The 22,612-nt window shown below is 38.9% G+C and overlaps 1 protein-coding gene across 123 annotated transcripts in view; it reads right to left on the reverse strand.

The window, feature by feature from the left end:
- UTY (ubiquitously transcribed tetratricopeptide repeat containing, Y-linked) overlaps positions 1-22,612 on the reverse strand; it is a 246,776-nt gene that overhangs the window by 182,629 nt on the left and 41,535 nt on the right. The gene's annotated exons all lie outside the window — the stretch shown is intronic.

Genomic DNA, 22,612 nt, shown 5'->3' on the forward strand with positions numbered 1-22,612 from the left:
AAAATTACCACCTTGTTTATCGTCATCACTGAACACGGTCACAGAGCATAGCTGTGCCAGACATTAAGACAATATCTTTAGTCACTGCATTCCAAATACAGGCAATAGCATATACAGCATCATTCTTCATGCTAACTCCTTCTGAAGACCTGCCACACTCACATCTCTGTTCATTCATGCCAGCATGCTATTCATGAAGAATTTTTATATTTAGTCTTTATTGATATAAAGATACCCTGCTCACATGGTTGAATTAATGAAGTCACATTTGGAGAAAAGGACATGGCAAAAAGATTATTTCTGAGTAAAATTTCAGCTGAAGGATGAGCAGAGCAGATGTCAACCAGTCCAGCTTCCTGCAATGAGTACAAGCAGCTAGTACAAAATATTTACGAAACCAATCAGAAAAGATGTTGCTGGTAATCCATGCCTTTCTGTTAGTATAATAATGAACTGGTAAGAAATTCACTCCCTGAACACAGTACACAAGCTTTTGCCTACCACATAAGTTCAGATTTATGCATGCTTGTCACATTAGCACATGTCAGCACAGTTATTTTTAAACCTCTGCAACTAGCTTGTTGAATATTCAACCGTTCTCTTCAGTTTTCAGTTTACTGCGATAACAGCCACTTGTTTCATGAACACACTATTATTATGTGGCATGTATTCAATGCAACACTGACGGATCCCCTCTTTCAATACACAGTCAAAATCTACATTTTTAGCTTTACACAGTGTTTTCCTATTTCTCATTAACTTCAGTTCATCCTTTCCACACATAACTTCAATAGTTTATCCTTCTGTTTCTTCAAGTCACATTGGCGGTCATTCCAACGCTATATGCTCTTCTATAAATGTTTCACACATCACAGTTCAGTTTCTCTGTTTGACTTTATGTGCTATAAACATAAATACTTCCTCTTTTTCTTACCATTTTTACCCATAAGGTTATCTGTAGGACTTTTCTGATACAGTCTCTTTACATCACTAAGCAGACAACAAGCAAAAAACAGTGCATAGAGGTTTGGGCCCCATGTGGGGCATTGTGGAGATCCTGCCATTGGCACATCCAGGCTACACAAGTGTCATTTTATTACCCTTTGTGGCCTTGCTTATCTGGGTTTATCTGGCATGGATGGAAAAGGTATGTAACAGCTGAAGGGACCTGAGAGTGTCTTCTTCCCTTGGGGATGGTGAATAAACTATGTTCTATGCACCTGCACTTGGACTAGGACACATCACATGAGGCTGGCTGTGAAATTTTTAAGTTTTCAATTTATGGGGCGCATTTTAAATTTTAGATTTTTGAGTTAGAAATGCTCAAATATTAAACAGTTCTCTTCAGTTTTCAGTTCACTGTGAAAATCTCCACTTGTTTCATGATGAGCACCCAATTTTCTTTTTATAGTTTGAGTTCTAGGGTACATGCGCACAACATGCAGGTTTGTTACGTATGTATACATGTGCCACGTTGATGTGCTGCACCCATTAACTCGTCACTTACGTTAGATTTATCTCCTAATGCTATCCCTCCCCCCTCCCCCCACCCCACAACAGGCCCTGGTGTGTGATGTTCCCCTTCCTCTGTCCAAGTGTTCTCATTGTTCCCACCTATGAGTGAGAACATACGGTGTTTGGTTTTTTGTCCTTGCGATAGTTTGCTGAGAATGATGGTTTCCAGCTTCATCCATGGCCCTACAAAGGACATGAACTCATCCTTTTTTATGGCTGCACAGTATTCCATGGTGTATACGTGACACATTTTCTTAATCCAGTCTATCATTAATGGAGATTTGGGTTGGTTCCAAGTGTTTGCTATTGTGAATAGTGCCGCAATAAACATACATGTGCATGTGTCTTTATAGCTGCATGATTTATAATCCTTTGGGTATATACCCAGTAATCGGATCACTGGGTCAAATGGTATTTCTAGTTCTAGATCCCTGAGGAATTGCCACACTGACTTCCACAATGGTTGAACTAGTTTACAGTCCCACCAACAGTGTAAAAGTGTTCCTATTTCTCCACATCCTCTCTAGCACACGTTGTTTCCTGACTTTTTAATTATCGCCATTCTAACTGCTGGATGAGCACACAATTATTACGTGGTATGTATTCACTGCAACACTGACAGATCCCCCTCTTTCAATATACAATAGAAATCTACACGATTCTCAATATGTATTAAAAACAGTATTTTAAACTCAGAAAAGTCATCTAGCCATTACATTTTTAGGTTTTTAGACGTCACTAATTCTTTTTGCAGCATGAAACAGGGAGATGGATTCCTGCAGTAAATTATAATTTTAGGTTGCCTTGGCATCCATTTTGAATATAAGCAGAACTTTTTCATATTAGAAGCAGGACTTAGTTGCCCTTGACACAGTTTCTAATTTCTCCCTCTTCCAGTTCCTCAATATAGTTAATCTAGATATCTGCCTTAAGCAATTGCCTCCTGGTTACCACTTCCCTGTGGAAGAGCTAGACACAACCCACTTGATTTACCGCACTAACCCTTACAACCTACAAGGATGACAAAGATATGCCACCACCATCACCTCAGTCACACCCTGAACTCCTGTAACTTGCTCTAAACCCACCAATTAGAATCACCGAGGGAAACCTGCTTGGGTAATACCCTGAGTCCTAATAAAGGCTTTGGCCCATAGTTCCCTCACACTGTCTCCACTGGATTGAGCATCCCAGAGAGTTCCCCCTTTCCACATACCTGCAAGGCATGCTATCTCTTCTCTGTAATACACTACTTCTGTTATTTCATTTGTACTGTGGTGCACCACCCTCTGTCTCACCTGACTGTTAATCCAAACCAAACTCTCCTCCTGTCAAAACTCTCCTAGAGATGTCTGTCTTGGTAGGAATAAACTAGATCCTGGTTAAGTAAGAGCCACAAGGCTTCTGCCAGAACAGATGCTCCATGGCTTAAGATGGGGTTATGTCCCAGTAAACCATGATAAGTTGAAAGTGTGGCAATACATTTAATGCACCTAATCTACTGAGCATCATAGCTTAGCCAAGCCCACCTTAAGGATGATTAGGACATTTATTTATTTATTTTATTTCATTCTATTTTTTAAGACAAGGTCTTGCTCTGTCAACCAGCTGGAGTGTAGTGGCACAATCATGGCTTCCTGCAGCCTTGACTTCCCAGATTCAGGCTATCCTCCCACCTCAGCCTGCTGACTGACTGGGAACACAGGCAACAAGCCACCATGCCTGGCTAAGTAATTTTGGTAGAGACAGGGTTTCACCATATTGCTCAGACTAAGGCACATTTGCATTAGCCTATAGTCAGGCAAAATCACTGAAAACAAAGCTTATTTTATAATAAAGTGCTGAAAATCTCATTTAATTTACTGAATATTGTACTAAAAGTGAACAGCAGAATGGCTGTATGGGTAACTGAAGCTCACTGCTTCTGCTGAATACATACCACTTTCACACCTTCATAATATCAGAAACTAGGAGTAATCATTGCTAGTGAGGAACTGTCTTTATAGATGGGTTTCCTCTGACAGGGGCATCTGGTGAGAAGGACATCTGATCACAAGCACTGGGCCATCCACCAAAATATAGCAGAATCCTTTCAAAAGCACACTGTATACGTTCATGGCCACCTGTCCTGGATTCCTTTCATGGCAAGGCTACAATTTCTGGGCATTCTCTAGAGACCTCAAAACCAACTTAGATGTCAAGTACTCAAAGCTCACAAAGACCAGAACTAGAGAATGCCAAAGAGAATATGGGCAACATTAAATAGCTATGGCAATCCTAAGCAAAAAGACAAAGTTGGAGGCATCATGTTACCCAATTTCAAGCTATATTACAGGGATACATTACCCAAAACAGCATGGTACTGGTCCAAAAATAGATGTTTAGACCAATGGAACAGAATAGCGAGCCCAGAAATAAAGCCATACACCTATGGCCAACAAACCTTCAAAAAAGCTGTCAAAAACAAGGGGAAAAGACTCCCTAGTCAATAAATAGTGCAGGGATAACTGGCTAGCCATATGCAGAAGACTAAAACTGAACCCCTTCCTATTTATAGTTACAAAAGTCATAGATGATTAGACTCTAAATGTAACACACAAAACTATAAAAACCCTGAAAGACAGCTTAGGCAATACTTGGCTAGCCATATGCAGAAAGCTAAAACTGAACCCCTTCCAGCTTACAGTTACCAAAAGTCAAAGATGATTAAAGACTTTAAATGTAACGCACAAAACTATAAAAACCCTGAAAGACAGCTTAGGCAACACCATCCCGGACATAGGAATGGGCAAAAATTTCATGATAAATACACCAAAAGTAATCGCAACAAAAGCAAAATGTGACAAGGGGGATCAAATTAAAGGTAAGAGCGTCTGCAGAGCAAAACAGAGTAAGCAAACCAAGCATAGTAAATTGACAATCTACAGAATGGAATAAACTATTTTCAAAGTATGCATCTGACAAAGGTCTCCATAAGGAACTTAAATTTACAAGACAAAAACAACCCCATTAGAAAGTGGGCAAAGGACATAAAGTAACATTTTTCAAAAGACATATATGCAGCCAACAAGCATAGAGAAAAAAAAGTTCAGTATCACTGATTATTAGAGAAAAGCAAATCAAAATCACAATGAGATACCACCTCACACCAATCAGAATGGCTACTATTAAAAAGTCAAAAAATAGCAGGTGCTGGCAAAGTTGCTGAGAAAAGAGAATACTTACACACCCTTGGTGGGAGTGTAAATAAATTAGTTCAACCATTGTGGAAAGCAGTATAACAATTCCTCAAAGAGCTAAACCCATGCAGAACTACCATTTGATTCAGCAATCCCATTATTGGGTATATACCCCCAGAGTATATTCTCACTATATTATATAAGTAGTATAAATGATGATTTATAGTATTAATCATTGTACCACAAAGACAAATGCATATGAATGTTCACTGCAGCACTATGCACAATAGCAAACACATGGCATGTGAATGTTCACTGCAGCACTATGCACAACAACAAACACATGGAATCAACCTAAATGCCCAGCAATTAAAGAGTAAATAAAGAAAATGTGGTACATATACACCATGGAACATTAAGCAGCCATAAAAAGGAATAAGATCACGTCTCTTGCAGGAACATGGATGGAGCTGGAAGCTATTATCCTTACCAAACTAAAACAGGAACAGAAAATCAAATACTGCAAGAGACACTGGGATCTACTTGAGAGTGGAGGGTAGGAGGAGGGAGAGGAGCAGAAAAGATAACTATTGGGTACCAGGCTTAATACCTGGCTGATAAAATGATCTGAAGAACAAGCCCTAGTGACATGAGTTTACCTATGTAACAAAGTTTCACATGTGCCCCCAAATCTAAAAGTTTTAAAAAGAGAGAAAGAGCAACATATCAACTGTGTCTACTATAATTTTTTTTAATAGAAATGCTATTATATTCTACCTAGGAAACAACAGTAGTTCAATAAGTGTCACTATTTCAACTCTTGATCGATTAATTCATAACATAAAAAGATGTTGGTGTGAGGAATATAAAATATAAACAAACAGGAAATATGCATGCTCATAAACAAATGAAAATTATTATAACAACATATTTGTCACAAAATGTCAACCATTTAAATTAGACTTTTGCTTGCCAAAATGTTATATGCCTAGAACATTTTCTATTTCTTCCTAATTCATCTTCCAAACTTCTTATTCAAGTATAACTAAAGTATTTTCAAACATCCACTGAGATTTATTACAATTTGCTTAATATTTTTCTTAAAAACAGCTCATACTATATACCTTATTTTACAAAAAACTTCAACCCTCGCCATGAGAAATAGAAACTGAGCATAAGTAGAAGACAGTATGAAAACACAATAAAATGAACACATCAAAATCCAACTAGCTTCATTTGCCTAGAAGTGATTTCAAGAAATAATAAAAACAAAGTTCAATAAAGAAGGACACTAAAAGACAGGTACTAAAAGACTTCTTGGTTTTCCCAAAAAAACTGAAAGGGGAAAAAAGAATCATTAAAGAGAAGTTGAATAATGTATATCAATTAAGAAAGATAGTATCTCTGAATGAAAAGTAAAAACAACTGATATAAACTCCGTAATGGCAATATCAATGACACAAGATAAAGCAGGTAAAACCATGGAGACTGCTTGGATGAAGAACTAGATCTGTGAGTGTAAGGAAACCAACATAACTAATCAAGAGATCTTGAGACAGAATTCTAAAAAGTAGAGAGCTACAAAGGCAGCTTCAGAGATCTGAAGTGGTTTAAACTCTTCTTAAGAAAATTACCAATATCAGGGAAAAAGCTATTGAAAGAACCAGAGAGAACAATGTCTACAAAACCAAGATCCATAACTACTATCATCAAACAGACTGGAAAAATATGCACATAGAGAGCAGTGAATTAAAGATCTCACCTAAGTGTTTGGGAATTACCAGTATGAGGACTGAGTACTCTTCAGGACCCATCTCAAAATTCTTAAGATAAAACCAGAAGCAGGACTGCATACAGACATTGGGACTCAAAGAATGACAATATGGCAAGTGCCCGTTTTTCCTTGTTGCCTTCTATATGTTACAGACAGGGTATTGCTGAAGGCTCCAACCCAGGCCACTAAAAAAATCCTATTACTCCTAGCCAAAACACCAGGAAAAGAATGGCATAGAAACTGAAAACTTATCCACAACACTGCCAGAAACCACAGGGTAAAAAAAGTACAGTTGCATTCTCCTACACTCCACCACGCACAGACATAATACGGCTGCAATAGGGCTAAAAAGGAAACTGATATTCTTATCCCAATTACCACTAGGAAGCAGACTGCATACCACAATTTCCCAGCAGAGCAGTGTCAGCAGAACAAGCCAAAAGCTTATCTTCCATCCTTTGCTGGCAAAGGGAACTGGTACTCCGGATTCTTCTGGAGTATCAACAAAGAGATGAGTAAATCTTTCATTCTCTACAAAGTAGAAGCAGATTATGGCACAAAGATTCCACTACAGGGTATTTTAGGCAAGGCCGAACCAAAAGCTGACGTACTACCCCTTTGTCATTTGAACCAGGCAGTGCTCCAATTTTTCTAACCAGATGGTGTCAGTAAATAATGAAATTGGAGTTAATTGTATATCTCCATCTAGTGAAAGTAGGCAGTACTCCATTTCACCCAGCAGGATATTATAAAGAGGGCCCTGTGGAGAGATAAGCTTTATTTATGTGGGAGAAAAGAACAGGGGCACTGAAGTTATTTGGAAGTTTGCAACCTCTTTTTTTATACCTGTTAGCAAGGCCCAACAGGAAGTTGTGTCACTACATACTACTAGCATCAACCAGGCAGAATTGGGCAGACCATAGTTGGCATTCTGATTGCCCCAACCTTCCCTTCCATCAGAAGAGCCCAGAAGGGAACTCACCTCAGTTACTACATCCTCATGCTCTAAAAGATAACAATGTCCAGCTTTCACCTAACCCTAAAGAGAGTATCAACAAACTCCACTAGAAACTTCACTATGCACATTCACCCACTTACACAAGAAGGCCTGCTTTAAAAATATAGAGAGAGAATGGCTGGATGTGGTGGCTCATGCCTGTAACTCCATCACTTTGGAGGGCCGAGGTGGACAGATCACGAGGTCGGGAGTTTGAGACCAGCCTGGCCAACGCAGTTAAACCCCGTATCTACTAAATATACAAAAATTAACTGGGCATGGAGGGGCACGTCTATAGTCCCAGCTACTCGGGAGGCTGAGGCACAAGAATTGCTTGAACCCAGGAGGTGGAGGTTGCAGTGAGCTGAGATTGTGCCACTGCACTCCAGCCTGGGTGACAGAGCAAAACTCCATCTCAAAACAAAACAAGACAAAACAAAACAAAAACCACCAGAGGCTGGGCATGGTGGCTCATGTAGGTAATCCCATCACTTTGGAGGCGGGCGGACCAAGAGGTCAGGAGGTCAAGACCATCCTGGCTAACACAGTGAAATCCTGTCTCTACTAAAAATACAAAAATTAGCTGGATGTGGTGGTGGATGCCTGTAGTACCAGCTGCTCAGGAGGCTGAGGCAGGAGAATCGCTTGAACCCGGGGGGCAGAGCTTGCAGTTAGCGGAGACTGCACCACTGCACTCCTGCCTGGGCGACAGAGAGAGATCCCGTCTCCAAAATAAAAAAACAGAGAGAGACAAGAGGACTGCCTAGGCCCAGGAGTTCAAGAGCAGCCTAGGCAATGTACTAAGACCTTGTCTCTAAAAACATAGGAAAAGCTAACAAAAAGAAAACTATGTTCCAGACATCAAAGTGAAAAACAAATTCATGAAATTATAGACTATCAAAAGTAATATTATTCCAATGTACTTAAAGAAAACCCAGTATTCAGTGGATGAAAAGACAAAAAACAAACAGGGAGAAAGTAGTCACAAACCACATATCCCACGAAGTACTAGTAAATAGAATCAATAAAGAACTCTCAAAACTCAGCAGTTTCAAAACAATTCATTAGAATTTAGGCAAAACACAGACACATATACACATTATCAAAAAATGCACTAAAGAGGCAAATAAGCACATGAAAAGATGTTTAATATCATTAGTCACAAATAAAATGCTAATTAAAACCACATTCTGCAACTGGCAAGGAAAATCATTGTTTTAGACTGTGCTCTCCTCTCTCCCAAGCAAGCATAAATACTCTCAGAAAACTTCCCCAGAACCACAGTTTCGAAGGTGAGAGGAGGAAAGTGGATGTAAACATTCTACATCCTCTACCATCTCAGAATCTTCACAGAAAACACACTTTGGTCCTATCCCACAAGAACTACTAGGAATGCCAGAAAGCCTGACCCACCTGGAGTGAACTGGGGACAGACAACAGATTGTGGACCACACTGACTGGTGAAAGAATCCTGGTGAATACTTTGAACTACAAACAGAAGGAGAAACACATTAAAGAGACCAGTTGGCACCAAGGTACTACAAGGGGCACAATATGCAGTAAGGTCCAAATTTCTGTTGAGATTTTCCACAGGGCCTCGATATCCAAAGCAGTCTTTCCCTCGTCTGGAAATGAGCAAAAGGTCAGCATTAAGTTCCAGTAACTATTTAAGTCTTCCCCAGAAGGGGAACATAACAGAGTAGCAATTTAGTTTTGCAGCAGCATTTAATATTTTGTGTTCACTGTAAGTTCCCCAAACTAGGAACCACCTACCTACAGGGCAATGAGTTTGTTCCTGTCCAATGTTTTAGTTCTGGTGGTCACTATGAGTCTTCTCCAAAATGGGAAAAGAAAACAGTCCAGTGTTTATTTGCAATACTAAGTAGTAAAGGTCTAAACCACCAAAGAACACTTGCAAAAACTGGAAGAGGAGGCTATTTCCTCAAAGGTGCAGCATCTACATAAAGTCACAATGATTGCAGAAACTGAAGGAAACAGATACAACCAAAAGAAACCAACAATGCTCCAGCAATGTACCCAAAAGAAGTGAAGATCTATAAGATGTCAGATGGAGAATTCAGAATAACCCTCCTGAGGTTCAGATAATCACAAGAAAACAGAGAAAGAAAAGTAAATGAAACCTGGACAACAAGCCAGGAAAAAAAAATAAGAAAATTGACACGAATAAATAAAAAAACAAACCAAACAGAAATACTAAAAATAAAGAATGCAATAACTGAACAGAAAAAAAAATCAGACACTTTCAAAAGCAGACTTTGAAAAATGAAGGAAGAATTACCAAGCATCAAGAAAGACCATGTGAAATTACACAAAGGTGCAAAAATAGAGGGCTTACAAGAATTATGGGTAATTATCACATAAAAAAAGCCTCCACATAATAAACATTCCTGAAAGAGACAGGCCTAGGATGTGTATTTAGGAAAATAATTTCATAATGCTAGAGAAACATGGCACCACCAAGTAAAGAAGCTCAGCAGTAACCAAATAAATTCGATCCAAAAACAAAATACACAAGGCACATCAATATCGAATTATCAAAACTCAAAACAAAGCAAAATAATACTCGAAGTGAAGGGAAAAAAGAAATATCGCATTCAATAGAGCCCCAATATAACTTTAAGCAAATTTCCCAGCAGAAATCCTGCAGGTTTCTGCAGTAGAGTGAGATGCTATACTCAAAGAGCTTTGAAAACAACTGCCAACCACAAATACTGTATTCAAAAGGTATCTTTCAAACACGAAAGAAAGAAAAGTCTATCCCAGAAAAACAAAAGCTGAGGAAATTCAAATACCAAAACTGTCTTAAATGCTTAAAAAAAAAAAGTCTTCAACTTGAAAGAAAAGGAGAGTAATGTGTAAAAGAAAATATCTGAAGGTATTCAGCTCATTGGCTTAAAAAAAGGACAAATTCAGAAAAGTCGAACACTGTAATTGCGGTAAATAAACCATTTATCTCAGTATGGACACTAAAATGGAATCAAAACTATTGAAAACAATGACAGCTACAACAAGTGAAGTGGCGATATTAAAAGATTAAACTGTAATGTCCAAGATTCAAAATGTGGAGGGCAGGAATATTAAACTGTAGTTTTTGTAACTTGCCATTTCTTTGCAATCACATAAACTGTTAAAATTACCAAATTTTTTCTGTAAACCTCCTGGCAATCACACAGCAAAAAGCTGTACATGGACACTACAATCAATACTGCAAAATCAAAACATTCTACTAGAGAAAAATCACTTAATTACAAAGGAAGACAGTAAGAGAGAAAAACACAAACGATCTACAAAACAACCAGGGAACAAATAATAAAATTGCCTCAAGTTAACCTTTGCCTATCAATAAGAATGCTGACTGTTAAGTTTTTTAAATTATCTAATTAAAAGACATAGTGGCTGAACAGATTTTTTAAAACACTGAACAATATGCTGTCTACAAGAAACTCACTTCACCTATAAAGATACTCACAGACTGAAACAAAAATATAAAAAGACACTCCACAAAAATGGAAAACAAGGAGGCAAGAGTAGCTTTACTTATATTAGGTAAAACACACTTAAAGTCAAGAGTGGGAAAGAAATGTAAAAAAGGACATTACACAATGACAAGGGTAACAATAAAGCAAGAGAATATAACAATTACGAATATATATGCACCCCAAACTGGAGCACTCAGATTTATGCAACAAGTATTAACAGACCTAAAGAGAAAGATCGACTGCCACACAATCATGATTTTCAGCAATGGATAGATCATTCAAACAGAAAATAAAGAAACATCACAGGTAAACTGCTCTCTAAACCAAACAGACCTTCTGTAACAGTATATAAGCCTTTCCTTTTTTAACATGTACTTACCAGCATATTTTGCTTTTTGACTTTTTGATAATGGCCCTTCTGACTTGGGAAGATGGTATCTTATTGTGGTTTTGATGTGCATTTACCTGATGATTAGTGATGCTGAACATTTTTTCATGTTTCTTGGCTGCTTACATGTCTTTTTGGAAAATGCCTGTTCATACCCTTTGCCCAAATTTTTATGGGGTTGTATTTTACTTATTGCAATATTTAAGTTCCTTGTAGATCTCGGGTATTAGCTCATTGTCTGATGCATCGTTTGCAAGTATGTTTTCTCATTCTGTCGGTTGTCTGTTTACTAATTATTTCCTTCGATGTGCAGAAGCTTTGGATTCTAGTTAAGTCCTGTTTCTCTACGTTTGGTTTTGGTGCATTTGCACTTGCTCATAAATTATTTGTCAGTACAATCTTCAGAAGAGTTTGTCCTAAGTTTTCTTCTATAATTTTTATAGATACAAGTCTTAGGTTTAGGTCTTTACTTATGTTAATTTTGGTACATGGTGAAAGGTATGGGTACAATTTCACTCCTCTGTATGTGGCTATCCAATTTTCCCAACACTATTTATTGAATAGGGTGTCATCTTCACAAAGCATACTTTTGTTGACCTTGTCTAATAACAGCTGGTTTGTAGGTATGTAGTTTTATTCTCGGATTCTTGATTCTGTTCCAGCAACCTAATGTGTCTATTTTTATATAAATACCATGATATTTTGGTTACTGTAGGCTTAAGGTGTAATTTGAAGTCAGGTAATACGATACCTCCAGCTTTGTTCTTTTTGCTTAGAATTGCTTTGGCTATTTAGGCTTGTTTGATTTCATAATGAATTTTAAGACTGTTTCTCATTCTGTGAAAAAATAACATGGATAATCTGATAGGGATTGTGTTGAATCTGAAGCCTACTTTGGGCAGTTAGTCATTTTAACAATATTTATTCTTCTAATGCAGGATCATGGGATGTTCTTCCACTTGTTTGTGTCATCTTCTTTCACCAGCATTTCATAGTTCTCCTTACAGAGATCTTTCACCTCGTTGGTTAAATATATTCCTATATATTTTTTTGTAGCTATTGCAAATGGCAATGCCTTCTTGATTTGATCCTTGGCTAGATCACTACTGTTACACAGAAATGCTACTGAATTTTGTTTATTAATTCTGTATCCTGCAACTTTATTGAATGCATTTATCAAATCTAAGAGTTTTTAATTTTCAGAATTTTCTGTACATAAGAGCGTATCACCAGCAAATCAGGATAATTTCACTTCCTCTTTTCCAATTTGTATATCTTTATTTCTTTTTCTCTTGCATGACTGCTCTGGCACAGACTTCCAGAACTATTTTAAATAACAGTAGTGAAAGTTGGATCTTTGGTTTGGCCAAACTCCTGGGGAAATGCTTTCAATTCTTTCTCAATAAGTAGGATGTTGGCTGCGAGTCTGTCATATTCAGCCTTTATTGTGGGTTGAGGTATGTTCCTTCATGTCTAGTTATTAAGGATTTTTAAAATAAAGGGATGCTGAATTTCATTGAGGGCTTTTTCTACATTTACTGAGAAAATCAAGTTTTTGTCCTTGATTCTGCTTGCACGTGATATATCATACTTACTGACTTGTGTATGGTAAACCATCCTTGGTTCCCTAGGGTAAATCCCACCTGATCACCATTTATAATTGTTAGATATGAGTTCTAAATTTCTCTTCAAAGAGTCAATATGTCTGTATGTTCAATTCTTTGCCTTCTACTTTTAAACTTAACTTCCTCATAAAGCAACCTTTGTGGATCACCTGCTCCACCCTCATTCTGATTACTGCTCCACCCTGACTCATTCTGATTGCCTGCACCACCCTAACTCATTCCGATTTCCTGCTCCACCCTAACTAATTCCGATTACCTGATCTGCCCTGACTCATTCTCCACCCTGACTCATTTGATTTCCTGCTCTGCCATAACCATTTTTCCCGCCAAATCATTTACCCTGTCACTCTCTTTAAATTAGCCAATAGGAATTAGTTTTGCCTGTGAGGTCTAACCCTAGCCCATAGGGCAGCAGGGGCCATGTGTGTCAGGAATAAGTCCCTTATTCAGGTGTGCACTCACAACTGCTCCATCTGTGAGGGCACACCCTTCTATAAAAGTAAATTGCCTTGCTGAGAAGAAAAAAAGAAAATTTTATATTCAAGTGCTATTTCTTTTGTGGCACTGAAACTTAACTTATAACATTATCATTTTAATACATTAATAGATTCATTTTGCTAGTCTTTTGTAGAGGATTTTTGCATTTATGTTCATCAGGAATACTGACCTGTAGTTTCTTCTTGTGCCATTGCCTGGTTTAAAATCAGAGTGATATTGGCCTCACAGAATGAGTTACAAAGAATTCCCTCCTCCTCATTTTTTTGCAATAGTTTCTGAAAGATTAGTACTAGTTATTTTTTGTATGTTTGTCAGATTTTGGCTGTGAATCCATATGATCCTAGGCTTTTTTTGTCAAAAGATTTTGCTATTATTGATTCAATCTTGCTACTCCTTACTGTCTGTTCAGAAGTTCTATTTCTTCCTGGTTAAATCTTGGGAGGTTGTGTACCTTGAGGGATTTATCCATTTCCTCCAGGTTTTCTAGTTTGTGAGTACACATTCATTCATAACAATCTCTGATGACCTTCTGACCTTTTTTATTTCTGTGTTATCAATTGTGATCTCTTTTATCATCTCTGATTGTGCTTATTTGGATCCTCTCTATTCTTTCCTTCATTAGTCTAGCTAGTGGTTTTTATCAATTTTGTTTATAAGGCTGGAGTGCAATGTGGCTCATGCCTGTAATACTGGTCCTTTGGGAGGCCCAGGTGGGCAGATCAATTGTCCTCTAGACCAGCCCAGACAACATGGTGAAACTCCATCTCTAACAAAAATACAAAAAAAAAAAAAAAATTAACTGGGCATGGTGGCATGTGCCTGGGGTTTCAGCTATGCAGGAGGCTGAGGTGGAAGGATGGCTTGAGCCTGGGAGAGAGGTGGAGGTTGCAGTGAGCAGAGTTTGTGCCACTATGCTCCAACCGGGTTGACAGAGGGATTTTTTTTGGTTTATATTTTTGAACAGCCTAAAAACATGGCTATTTTGAAAAAATGGTGTTGACAAACCTTTAACTAGACTAAAAGAAAAGGAAAAAAGACCAATACAAATAAAATAAGAGAGGAAAAAAAAGAGATTATAACTGAAACCACAGAAATTCAAGGGATCATTCACAGGCTTCTATGAACTGTGTACCAACAACATGGAAAACCTGTAGAAAATAATTAAGTTTTTGGACATATATAATCTACCAAGATTAAATCATAAAGAGAGAGAAATCCCAAACAGATCCATAAATTGTAGCAAGATTGAAGCAGTAATAAAAAGTCTCCCATTAAAGAAAAGCCAGGACCTGATGATTGCACTACAGGATTCTACCAAATATTTTGAGAAGAATTAACATCACTTCTACTCAAGCTACTTCAAAAAAATTAAAGATGAGAGAATTTCTCCAAACTCATTCAATGAGGCTAACATCCTGCTATCAAAATCAGAACACAAACACACAGATGCGTGCACACACAAATTTCCCTGATGAACACATCCAAAACTCCTTAAAAAATACTAGCAAACTGAGTTCTGCAATACTACAAAAAGATCATTCAACATGATCTTTTTCGTCATCATAATCTCCCCAAAAGAGGACTCATCTACTGCATGCAGCAATGGTTCAAACAAAAAAAAAAGTAATAAATGTGATTGACGCATCACATTAAAAGAGTCAAGAACAAACACCATGTAACTGCTTTAACAGATACCAAACGGAGAAATTCAAAGATTTTGTCCTCAAAGATCTGGAAAAAGTCAAGGATGCCCACTTTTATTCAACATAGTGCAGAAAAGTCATAGCCAGAGAAATTATGGAAAGAGAAATAAAACCCATTCAAATGATTAAAAAATAATCAAATTATCCTTATTCACAGAAGACGTGAACGTACAGAAAAACCTAAACGCTCCCCCCAAAATACTGTAGAAATTCATAAACAAATGCAGTTATGTTGCACAAAATGAAATCAACATGTAAAAATTACCATTTACATACAGCAATAGCAAATAACCTGAAAAAGATCAAGGAAGCAATTCCATTTACAACAGCTCCAAAAATAAAATACCTAGAAATAAATATTACTGAACTCAAAGATTTCCACAATGAAAACTAAAGGCATTGATGAAGGAAACTGAAAAAGATACACAAAATTAAAAAAATTTCCACATTCACCCAAAATAATCTACAGACTCAATGTAGTGCCTATCAAAATACCAATGACGGTCTTCACAAAAATAGAAAACAAAATTCTAAAATTTGTATACAACCACAAAGATCATGAAGTGTCAGATCAGTCTGGCTCTGCCCAGCATTATCCCCCCTCCCATTTCTGAAAATGAAGATGTCAAGGGACCTAGGAATTGTATAACACAATTCACTATTTGAGGAATCCAAGTATTCCCCCTGGGGCACAGTTTAGGTATAAACACACTTCCACTACTAACTATCTCCAGCAGTTGCCTACCTATAAGCTCCACCTACAGGCCTGAAGTCCAGGTCACACAGCCAGCTGCAATCACTGACAACACAAGTGCACAAACACAGGAAGCAGAACATACTACCGATGCTAGTATCACTGCACACACTACACTGACCACCTAGGGGCTCAGAAACTCATTTACCCACCCAATCCACTGCTACCACACTGGCATCTAAGAAGTCCACCCAGAGGCCCACCACGTGGTCCACCTGGAATTGCCAATACAGATGCTGGCAAACAATGTCGTAGGCAAAAGGATGTTAACAACAAGCACACCACTGAGACCAGTGAAACCTGACTACAGGCCTAACTGGCACTGCAGTTTCCAGCAAATTTCTCCACAGCCTCCATTAGTAACCACATCCTAGTATACCAAGGAAACCACAGGTACCATTAAGGGTATATACTGCCAAATAAATCAGAGACTTCACTGCTGCCCTTACCCAGACACAAAGCCAAAGGGCTCTACCCAATCAACATCACAAACCCACCTTCAGGATAAAGTCCCCACACAACAAAAGTAAATTCAATAGGCAAAAGCAACTGTTATACAGATATCAACCTAAAGACACAGGAAACATGAAAAAGCAAAGAAATATGACACTACTAAAAGAAAACTATAGATTTGAGGCAAAAAGACATTCAAGATCCTAAAGAAAGAATCTGAATGTTGTTTTCAAGGAAACTCAATGAGACGCAAGAGAAAATTCAAAACCAATATAAAGCACCCAGAAAAACAATTCAGGATGTGAATGAGGAATTGATAATCAAGGAAAAAGATTTAAAGAAAGCAAAACAAAACAAAAAATTCTGGAATTGAAAATTTCATTAAAGGAAATATTAAATACATTCAAAAGTTCCAACACTAGACTAAACCAGGCAGAAAAAAAAAATCTCAGTACTTCAGATGGGTCTTTGAAATAATCAATCAATCAATCAATAAAATAAAAAGAATGAACAAAGCCTTTGAGACATTTCGGACAACAAAAAGTGACAAAATTTATGGACCACTGCTATCTACGAGCAGAGACATCAAAGGGTTTAGCAAACCTATTACAAAATAGTAGATGAAAACGTCCCATGTCTAACAAGAGATTTAGACTTCTAGATACAGACGGCTCAACAATCCACACACAAACAGATAAAACACAAACAGTTCTTTGCAATGACACATTATAATCAAACTCAAAAGGCAAAGTGAAAATGAAACTAAAAACAGGAAGAGAATATCACCTGGTCATGTGTAAATAAATCTACATCAAACAAATAGCATGCTTCTGAGTAGAAACTTCACAAGATAGAAGAGAATGGGTATATTCCAAGTACTGAAGGGAAAAAATCTGAGAAGAAAAATATACCCAGCAAGACTTATCTACATAAATGAAACAAAATCTTCCCTCAAAAAGGAGACGCTGAGAACATTCATCACTAATTGCCTAGCCTAACATATGCTTAAAGTAGCCAGAGGCTTGGAAAAGAAAGAATAACATTTACCATCATGAAAACACAAGAAAGTATAAAACTAACTGGTTGAAGCAATCAAACAAAAAGGAAGTGTGATGAATCAAAGGGAATCATTACAGAATTCCACACTGGCAAACAGACAATAGAAAGAAAATTTCACAGAACTAGAAAACAATTTACAATATGATAGGAACAAAACCTCACATATCAATAATAACCTAAAATATAGACAGATAAAGTATTCTACTTGAAAAATACAGATTGACTTAAGAAACTGTATTTTACTTTACTTTTTCAGACAGTCTCACTCTGTAATCCAGGCTGGAATGCAGTGATGTGACTTCAGCTCACTGCCACCCCCACCTCTCAGGTTAAAACAATTCTCCGGCCTCAGCCTCCCAAGTAGCTGGGACTCAGGCACGCACCACCATACTCAGCTAATTTTTGCATTTTTAGTAGAGATGAGTTTTCATCATGTTGGCCAGGCTGGTCTCAAACTCCTGGCCTCAAGTGATCTACCCTCCTTGCCCTCCCAACGTAGGCCAGTGCGCCTGGCCTAAGACTGGTTGAAGAGATTTTAAAACATGATCCAACTAACTGCTGCTTACAAGAAATTTACCTTACATGGAAAGGTTCATATAAACATAGGTATGGCATGGAAAATGATATTCAATAAAACCAGAAACCAAAAGTGAGCAAGAGTAGGTATCATTGTATCAGATAAAAGAGACAAGTCAAAAGGATAAAACACACATTAAAAGACATTTTATAATGATAACAGAATCAATTTAGCCAGAGGATATAACAATTTTAAATATATGCACCCATCACTCCAGCACTCAGATTCATAAAACAAATATTACTAGACCCAAAGGGACATATATCTCAATACATTAAGAGTAGGGGAGGGATATCAACGCCTCACTCACAGCATTAAACAAATCATTTAGAGAAATCAACAAAAAGATTGGACTTAAACTGGACTTCAGGCCAAATGAACATAAAAAATTACAGAACATTCTATCCAACAACTGTAGAACATACATTCTTTTCATCTGCACATGGAACATTCTCCAAGACAGACCACATATCAGGATACAAAGAAGTTCTAATACATATTTAAACAATGAAACTATATGAAATAACATCTCAGACCATACTGGAATACAACTAGAAATCAATACAAGAGAAATGCTGGAAACTATACAACTACATATAAAACAGCATGGACCTGAATCTGTGGAAGGAAAATAAAATAAAATAAATAATAATAAAGTTGAAAATAATAAACATAACATAGATAATAGTTAACATTAAGTGTGGTTATTTAGAAGTTATACATAGGCTAAGAAATTTAAGCAGCCCCTCCCAGCATTGCTAACAGGTTGCAGCTGCGAGCTTATCTCAACCTTCCAAGCTTATTGCCTGCCTCCAGACCCCCCGCACATTCCTGTCGTTCCTGTTTTCCCTTACCCCAGCTCTGTCCAGCTTCGAGCCTGACTGGTCAAGATAACTAAATTGTAAGCTTTCTCAGAATTGTCACAGGTTAAATAATTTACTGTCTTTGTCTGAAACCGGTATCCTGCCTTGTTTTCCCGCCTCAAACAACATGTAAGCAAGCCTGCATTCTTTGTCAGGGTCGGCAGCCATTTTGGGCGTGAGCCTACTGGCTCAGGTGCCTCAATTAAAGTTGTTTTTGGTCTCCAAAGGTCTCTTTGTCTTCTTTGGCTGAGTTTTACTGCGACATTTTGGAGAGTTCGACAAGAGGAGAGAGAGGACAAGCTACTGTCTCCTTTGACTGTGGGACTTGGGCCCCGGGGTCGGGGGAGACCCAGTTCTTAGGCGCGCCGACCGAAGAGTTTTCCAAAAAAGGGCTGGGTTCTCCCACATCCCAAGGCCCTGCCCCTGATAGCGCAGGAAGGAGACCGCAAGACAACTTTCAGCGCAGTGAAAAGGAATCACGGTAAGAAAAGAGGGCCCTACAGAGTAAGAAAGGGTGCCTTACAGGGACAGACACAAATCGTGCCCTACCAGGCGGGTGGGGCACTGATCACCACTCAAGGGTTGTCTATTAGCCTAACCCAGAAGGTGAATGGGGGCGGTGAGGAAAGGACCTCACCACTCATGTGACATTCAGCCCTGAAGCCGGCAGCAGGGTAGAGCCTGCTGAGCCGGAGGGAGCAAAGAGAAAGTGAAACCGTGAAGTCACCAGTGTGAGTGAACTGTCCCAACTGGGAGTGTGTGGGTACGTGTGAACCCACCCAGGACACGAGACAGACTCGTTTCATCTGATGAGGAGTCCTGGGGACAGGAGTTGTGTACGAATGTGTGTGAATGTGGGAGCCTAACTAGGCTCATCAGCTGTGAAGCGTGGGGGCCGCAAGTCTGTTAGAGTGGACTGTATGCTGTGAGTGAAATGTTGGACCCAGGACGACTAGAGGCGAACTTCCTTTGGGGCTACCGCATACAGCTGAGGGAGGTGGCCCCACAGTCTAGGTATTGTGGCAGAGAGTAACAAACTCTCCAAAGTCAAGCGGGGTCTGGCGTCTGAAACACCCCCACGAGGGAGACAGTCTAATCGGTCCGAAATGAAAGTGAGGGTCATTGCGTCGTGCGGGAAGAAATGGGAGGAAAAGAACCTAAGGAATTAACCCCCACTCCTTTGGAGTGCATGCTAAAGAATTTCAAGGAGGGATTTTCTGGGGAATATGGAGTAAAGCTGACCCCCGCCAAAGGTTAAGAACTCTTTGTGTAATAGAATAGCCTAGTTTGGGCATTGGTTGGCCGCCAGAGGGCACCCTTGTTTGGAAAATCACCAGCAGGGTGTTTCAAATAATAACAGGGGCAACAGATCAGCATGGACACCCAGATCAATTTCCATATATTGATTCCTGGTTAAATATAATCCAAAATTGCCCTAAATGGCTAGGAATCTGCATGGCTGAATATTGTAAGACCCTAGTCGCCCGAACTGGTCCAAAAGGGATCAAAAAGACAGTATCATGCAAGCCTTTAGAGAAGGAAACTAGGAAGCAAAAGAGACACACACACACACACACACACACACACACACACACATCTTACAGGCTCCTTTGGAGAAGCTAGAGAATCCTTCTCCATATGCCCTTCTCTACCCATCCTTAGCAAGGCTCAGATAAGAGGAAGGGCAATTGTCTCCTGAAGAAACAAGCTCAGAAAGTAGCGGGGCATCTCCACAGCAGGAAGAAGCTGCATCCTTGCCACCTAAGACTAGGAGGGAAAAACAGGATGAAGAGGCAGGGCAGGGCGTCTTAGGTCCAGTGGTTCCCGAGCTCTGCAAATGCCGCTCAGAGAGACGTGGGCACAAATCTACCTTGATGATCAAGGGTACAAGGTGGAGAACAAACTTACTCTTATCTCCCCTTCTCCACTACTGACCTTTTAAACTGGAAACATCATAACCCATCATACACAGAAAAGCCACAAGCAATAATTGATACGAGAATAATCTTTTCGACTCATAGTCCTACCTGGCCAGACTATCAGCAATTATTAGTAGTTTATTTAGCACAGAAGGAAGGCACAGAGTGGTGCAAGCAGCCCTCCAATGGCTAGAAAACAATGCCCCTGAATGCATAAATGATTCCAGGCAGTATGCGGAAGCTCAGTTCCCTGACACTGATCCAAATTGGGTCCCAAACAACCCTGATCATTTAGAATGCCTACAGAGGTATGTGGATGCACTCCTAAATGGGGTAAAGTCAGAGGGAAGAAAAGCAATGAACATAGGAAAAGTTTCAGAAGTCCTCCAAAAGCCCGATCAGAGTCCCAGCCAGTTCTAAGAGCAGCTGTGTGAAACCTACTGGCTCTACATCTGACCCACAGGCAGCTGATAACCAGAAAATGGTAAATACTGCCTTCGTTAGCCAGTCACAAAGTGACATCAAAAAAAAAGCTCCAAAAATTAGAAGGATTGCCAAAGAGGCATGGAGGAACTCCTCAGTGTCTTAATGAATGCTGGATATAAAATTTCAGAAAAAAAAAAAAAAGGTTTGCATCTGTTGTCCTAAAGTTAAATATTTAGGTTTTATAATAAGCAAAGGACAAAAGAAGCTTGGTAGTGAGCGGAAAGAGGCCATGTGTACACTCCCTACAGGTACCACAGGGCGCCAAATCAGAATTCTTAGGTGCAGCAGGGTTCTGCCGCATTTGGATCCCAAGTTTCTCACTTTTAGCTGAGGCTCTATATAAAGCTACAAAGGGGGTTAAGAAAGAGTCCCTCTTCTGGGAGACGGATCAAGCAAAAGCATTAAAAAAAATCAAAAAGGCCTTAACATAGGCTCCCAGATCAGACTAAACCTTTCTTCTTCTACGTGGATGAAAGAACAGGGACAGTAGTAGGAATTTTAACACAAATGCTAGGATCATGGCATAGACCTGTGGCCTATTTATCTAAACAACTAGACACAGTGGCATTAGGCTGGACACACTGCTTTAAAGCAGTTAACGGCAACTACCTTGCTGGCCCAGGAGGCTGGCAAATTAACACTAGGACAGAAGTTAACTTTCAGGTGCCACACACCGTAATAACCCTGTTAGACCAGAGGGGGAATCACTGGTTGTCTATCCAAGAATTGCTAAATATCAAAGACTGTTACTTGAAAATCCTAATATAACTGTAGAAATAGGGAATACCCTAAATCCAGCTACCTTGCTGCCTACAGAAGAATCAAAAGAATTCCCATCACATTGTTGTAAGGATGTAGTAGATAAAGTGTTTTCAAGCAGGAAAGACTTAAAAGATCAGCCTTTTGAAAACTCAGACCTAGACTATTTAACAGATGTAGCAGCTTCATTTCAGACGGAGTTTACAGAGCCAGGTATGCAGTAGTGATAAATGATTTTAAGTCAGGTGAGGGAACAGTAGTAGAAGCACAGTCACTGCCAACTAGATCCTCTGCTCAAAAGGCTGAGCTGATTGCTTTAACAAGAGCCTTATTACCAGCAAAAGGGAGGATAGTTAATATCTATATTGATTCTAAATATGCTTTTGCTACCCTCTATGCTCATGGAGACATCTATAAAGACAGAAGACTTCTAACAGCTGCAGGAAAAGAAGTCAAAAATAAAAAGGAGATCCCGCAACTCTTAGATGCTGTTTGGGCACCTAAAAAGGTGGCCATTATACATTGCAAAGGTCATCAAACAGATGGGTCCTATAAATCCATAG

Source organism: Homo sapiens, chromosome Y (genome assembly GCF_000001405.40).
Source record: "Homo sapiens chromosome Y, GRCh38.p14 Primary Assembly".
Lineage (NCBI taxonomy): Eukaryota > Metazoa > Chordata > Mammalia > Primates > Hominidae > Homo > Homo sapiens.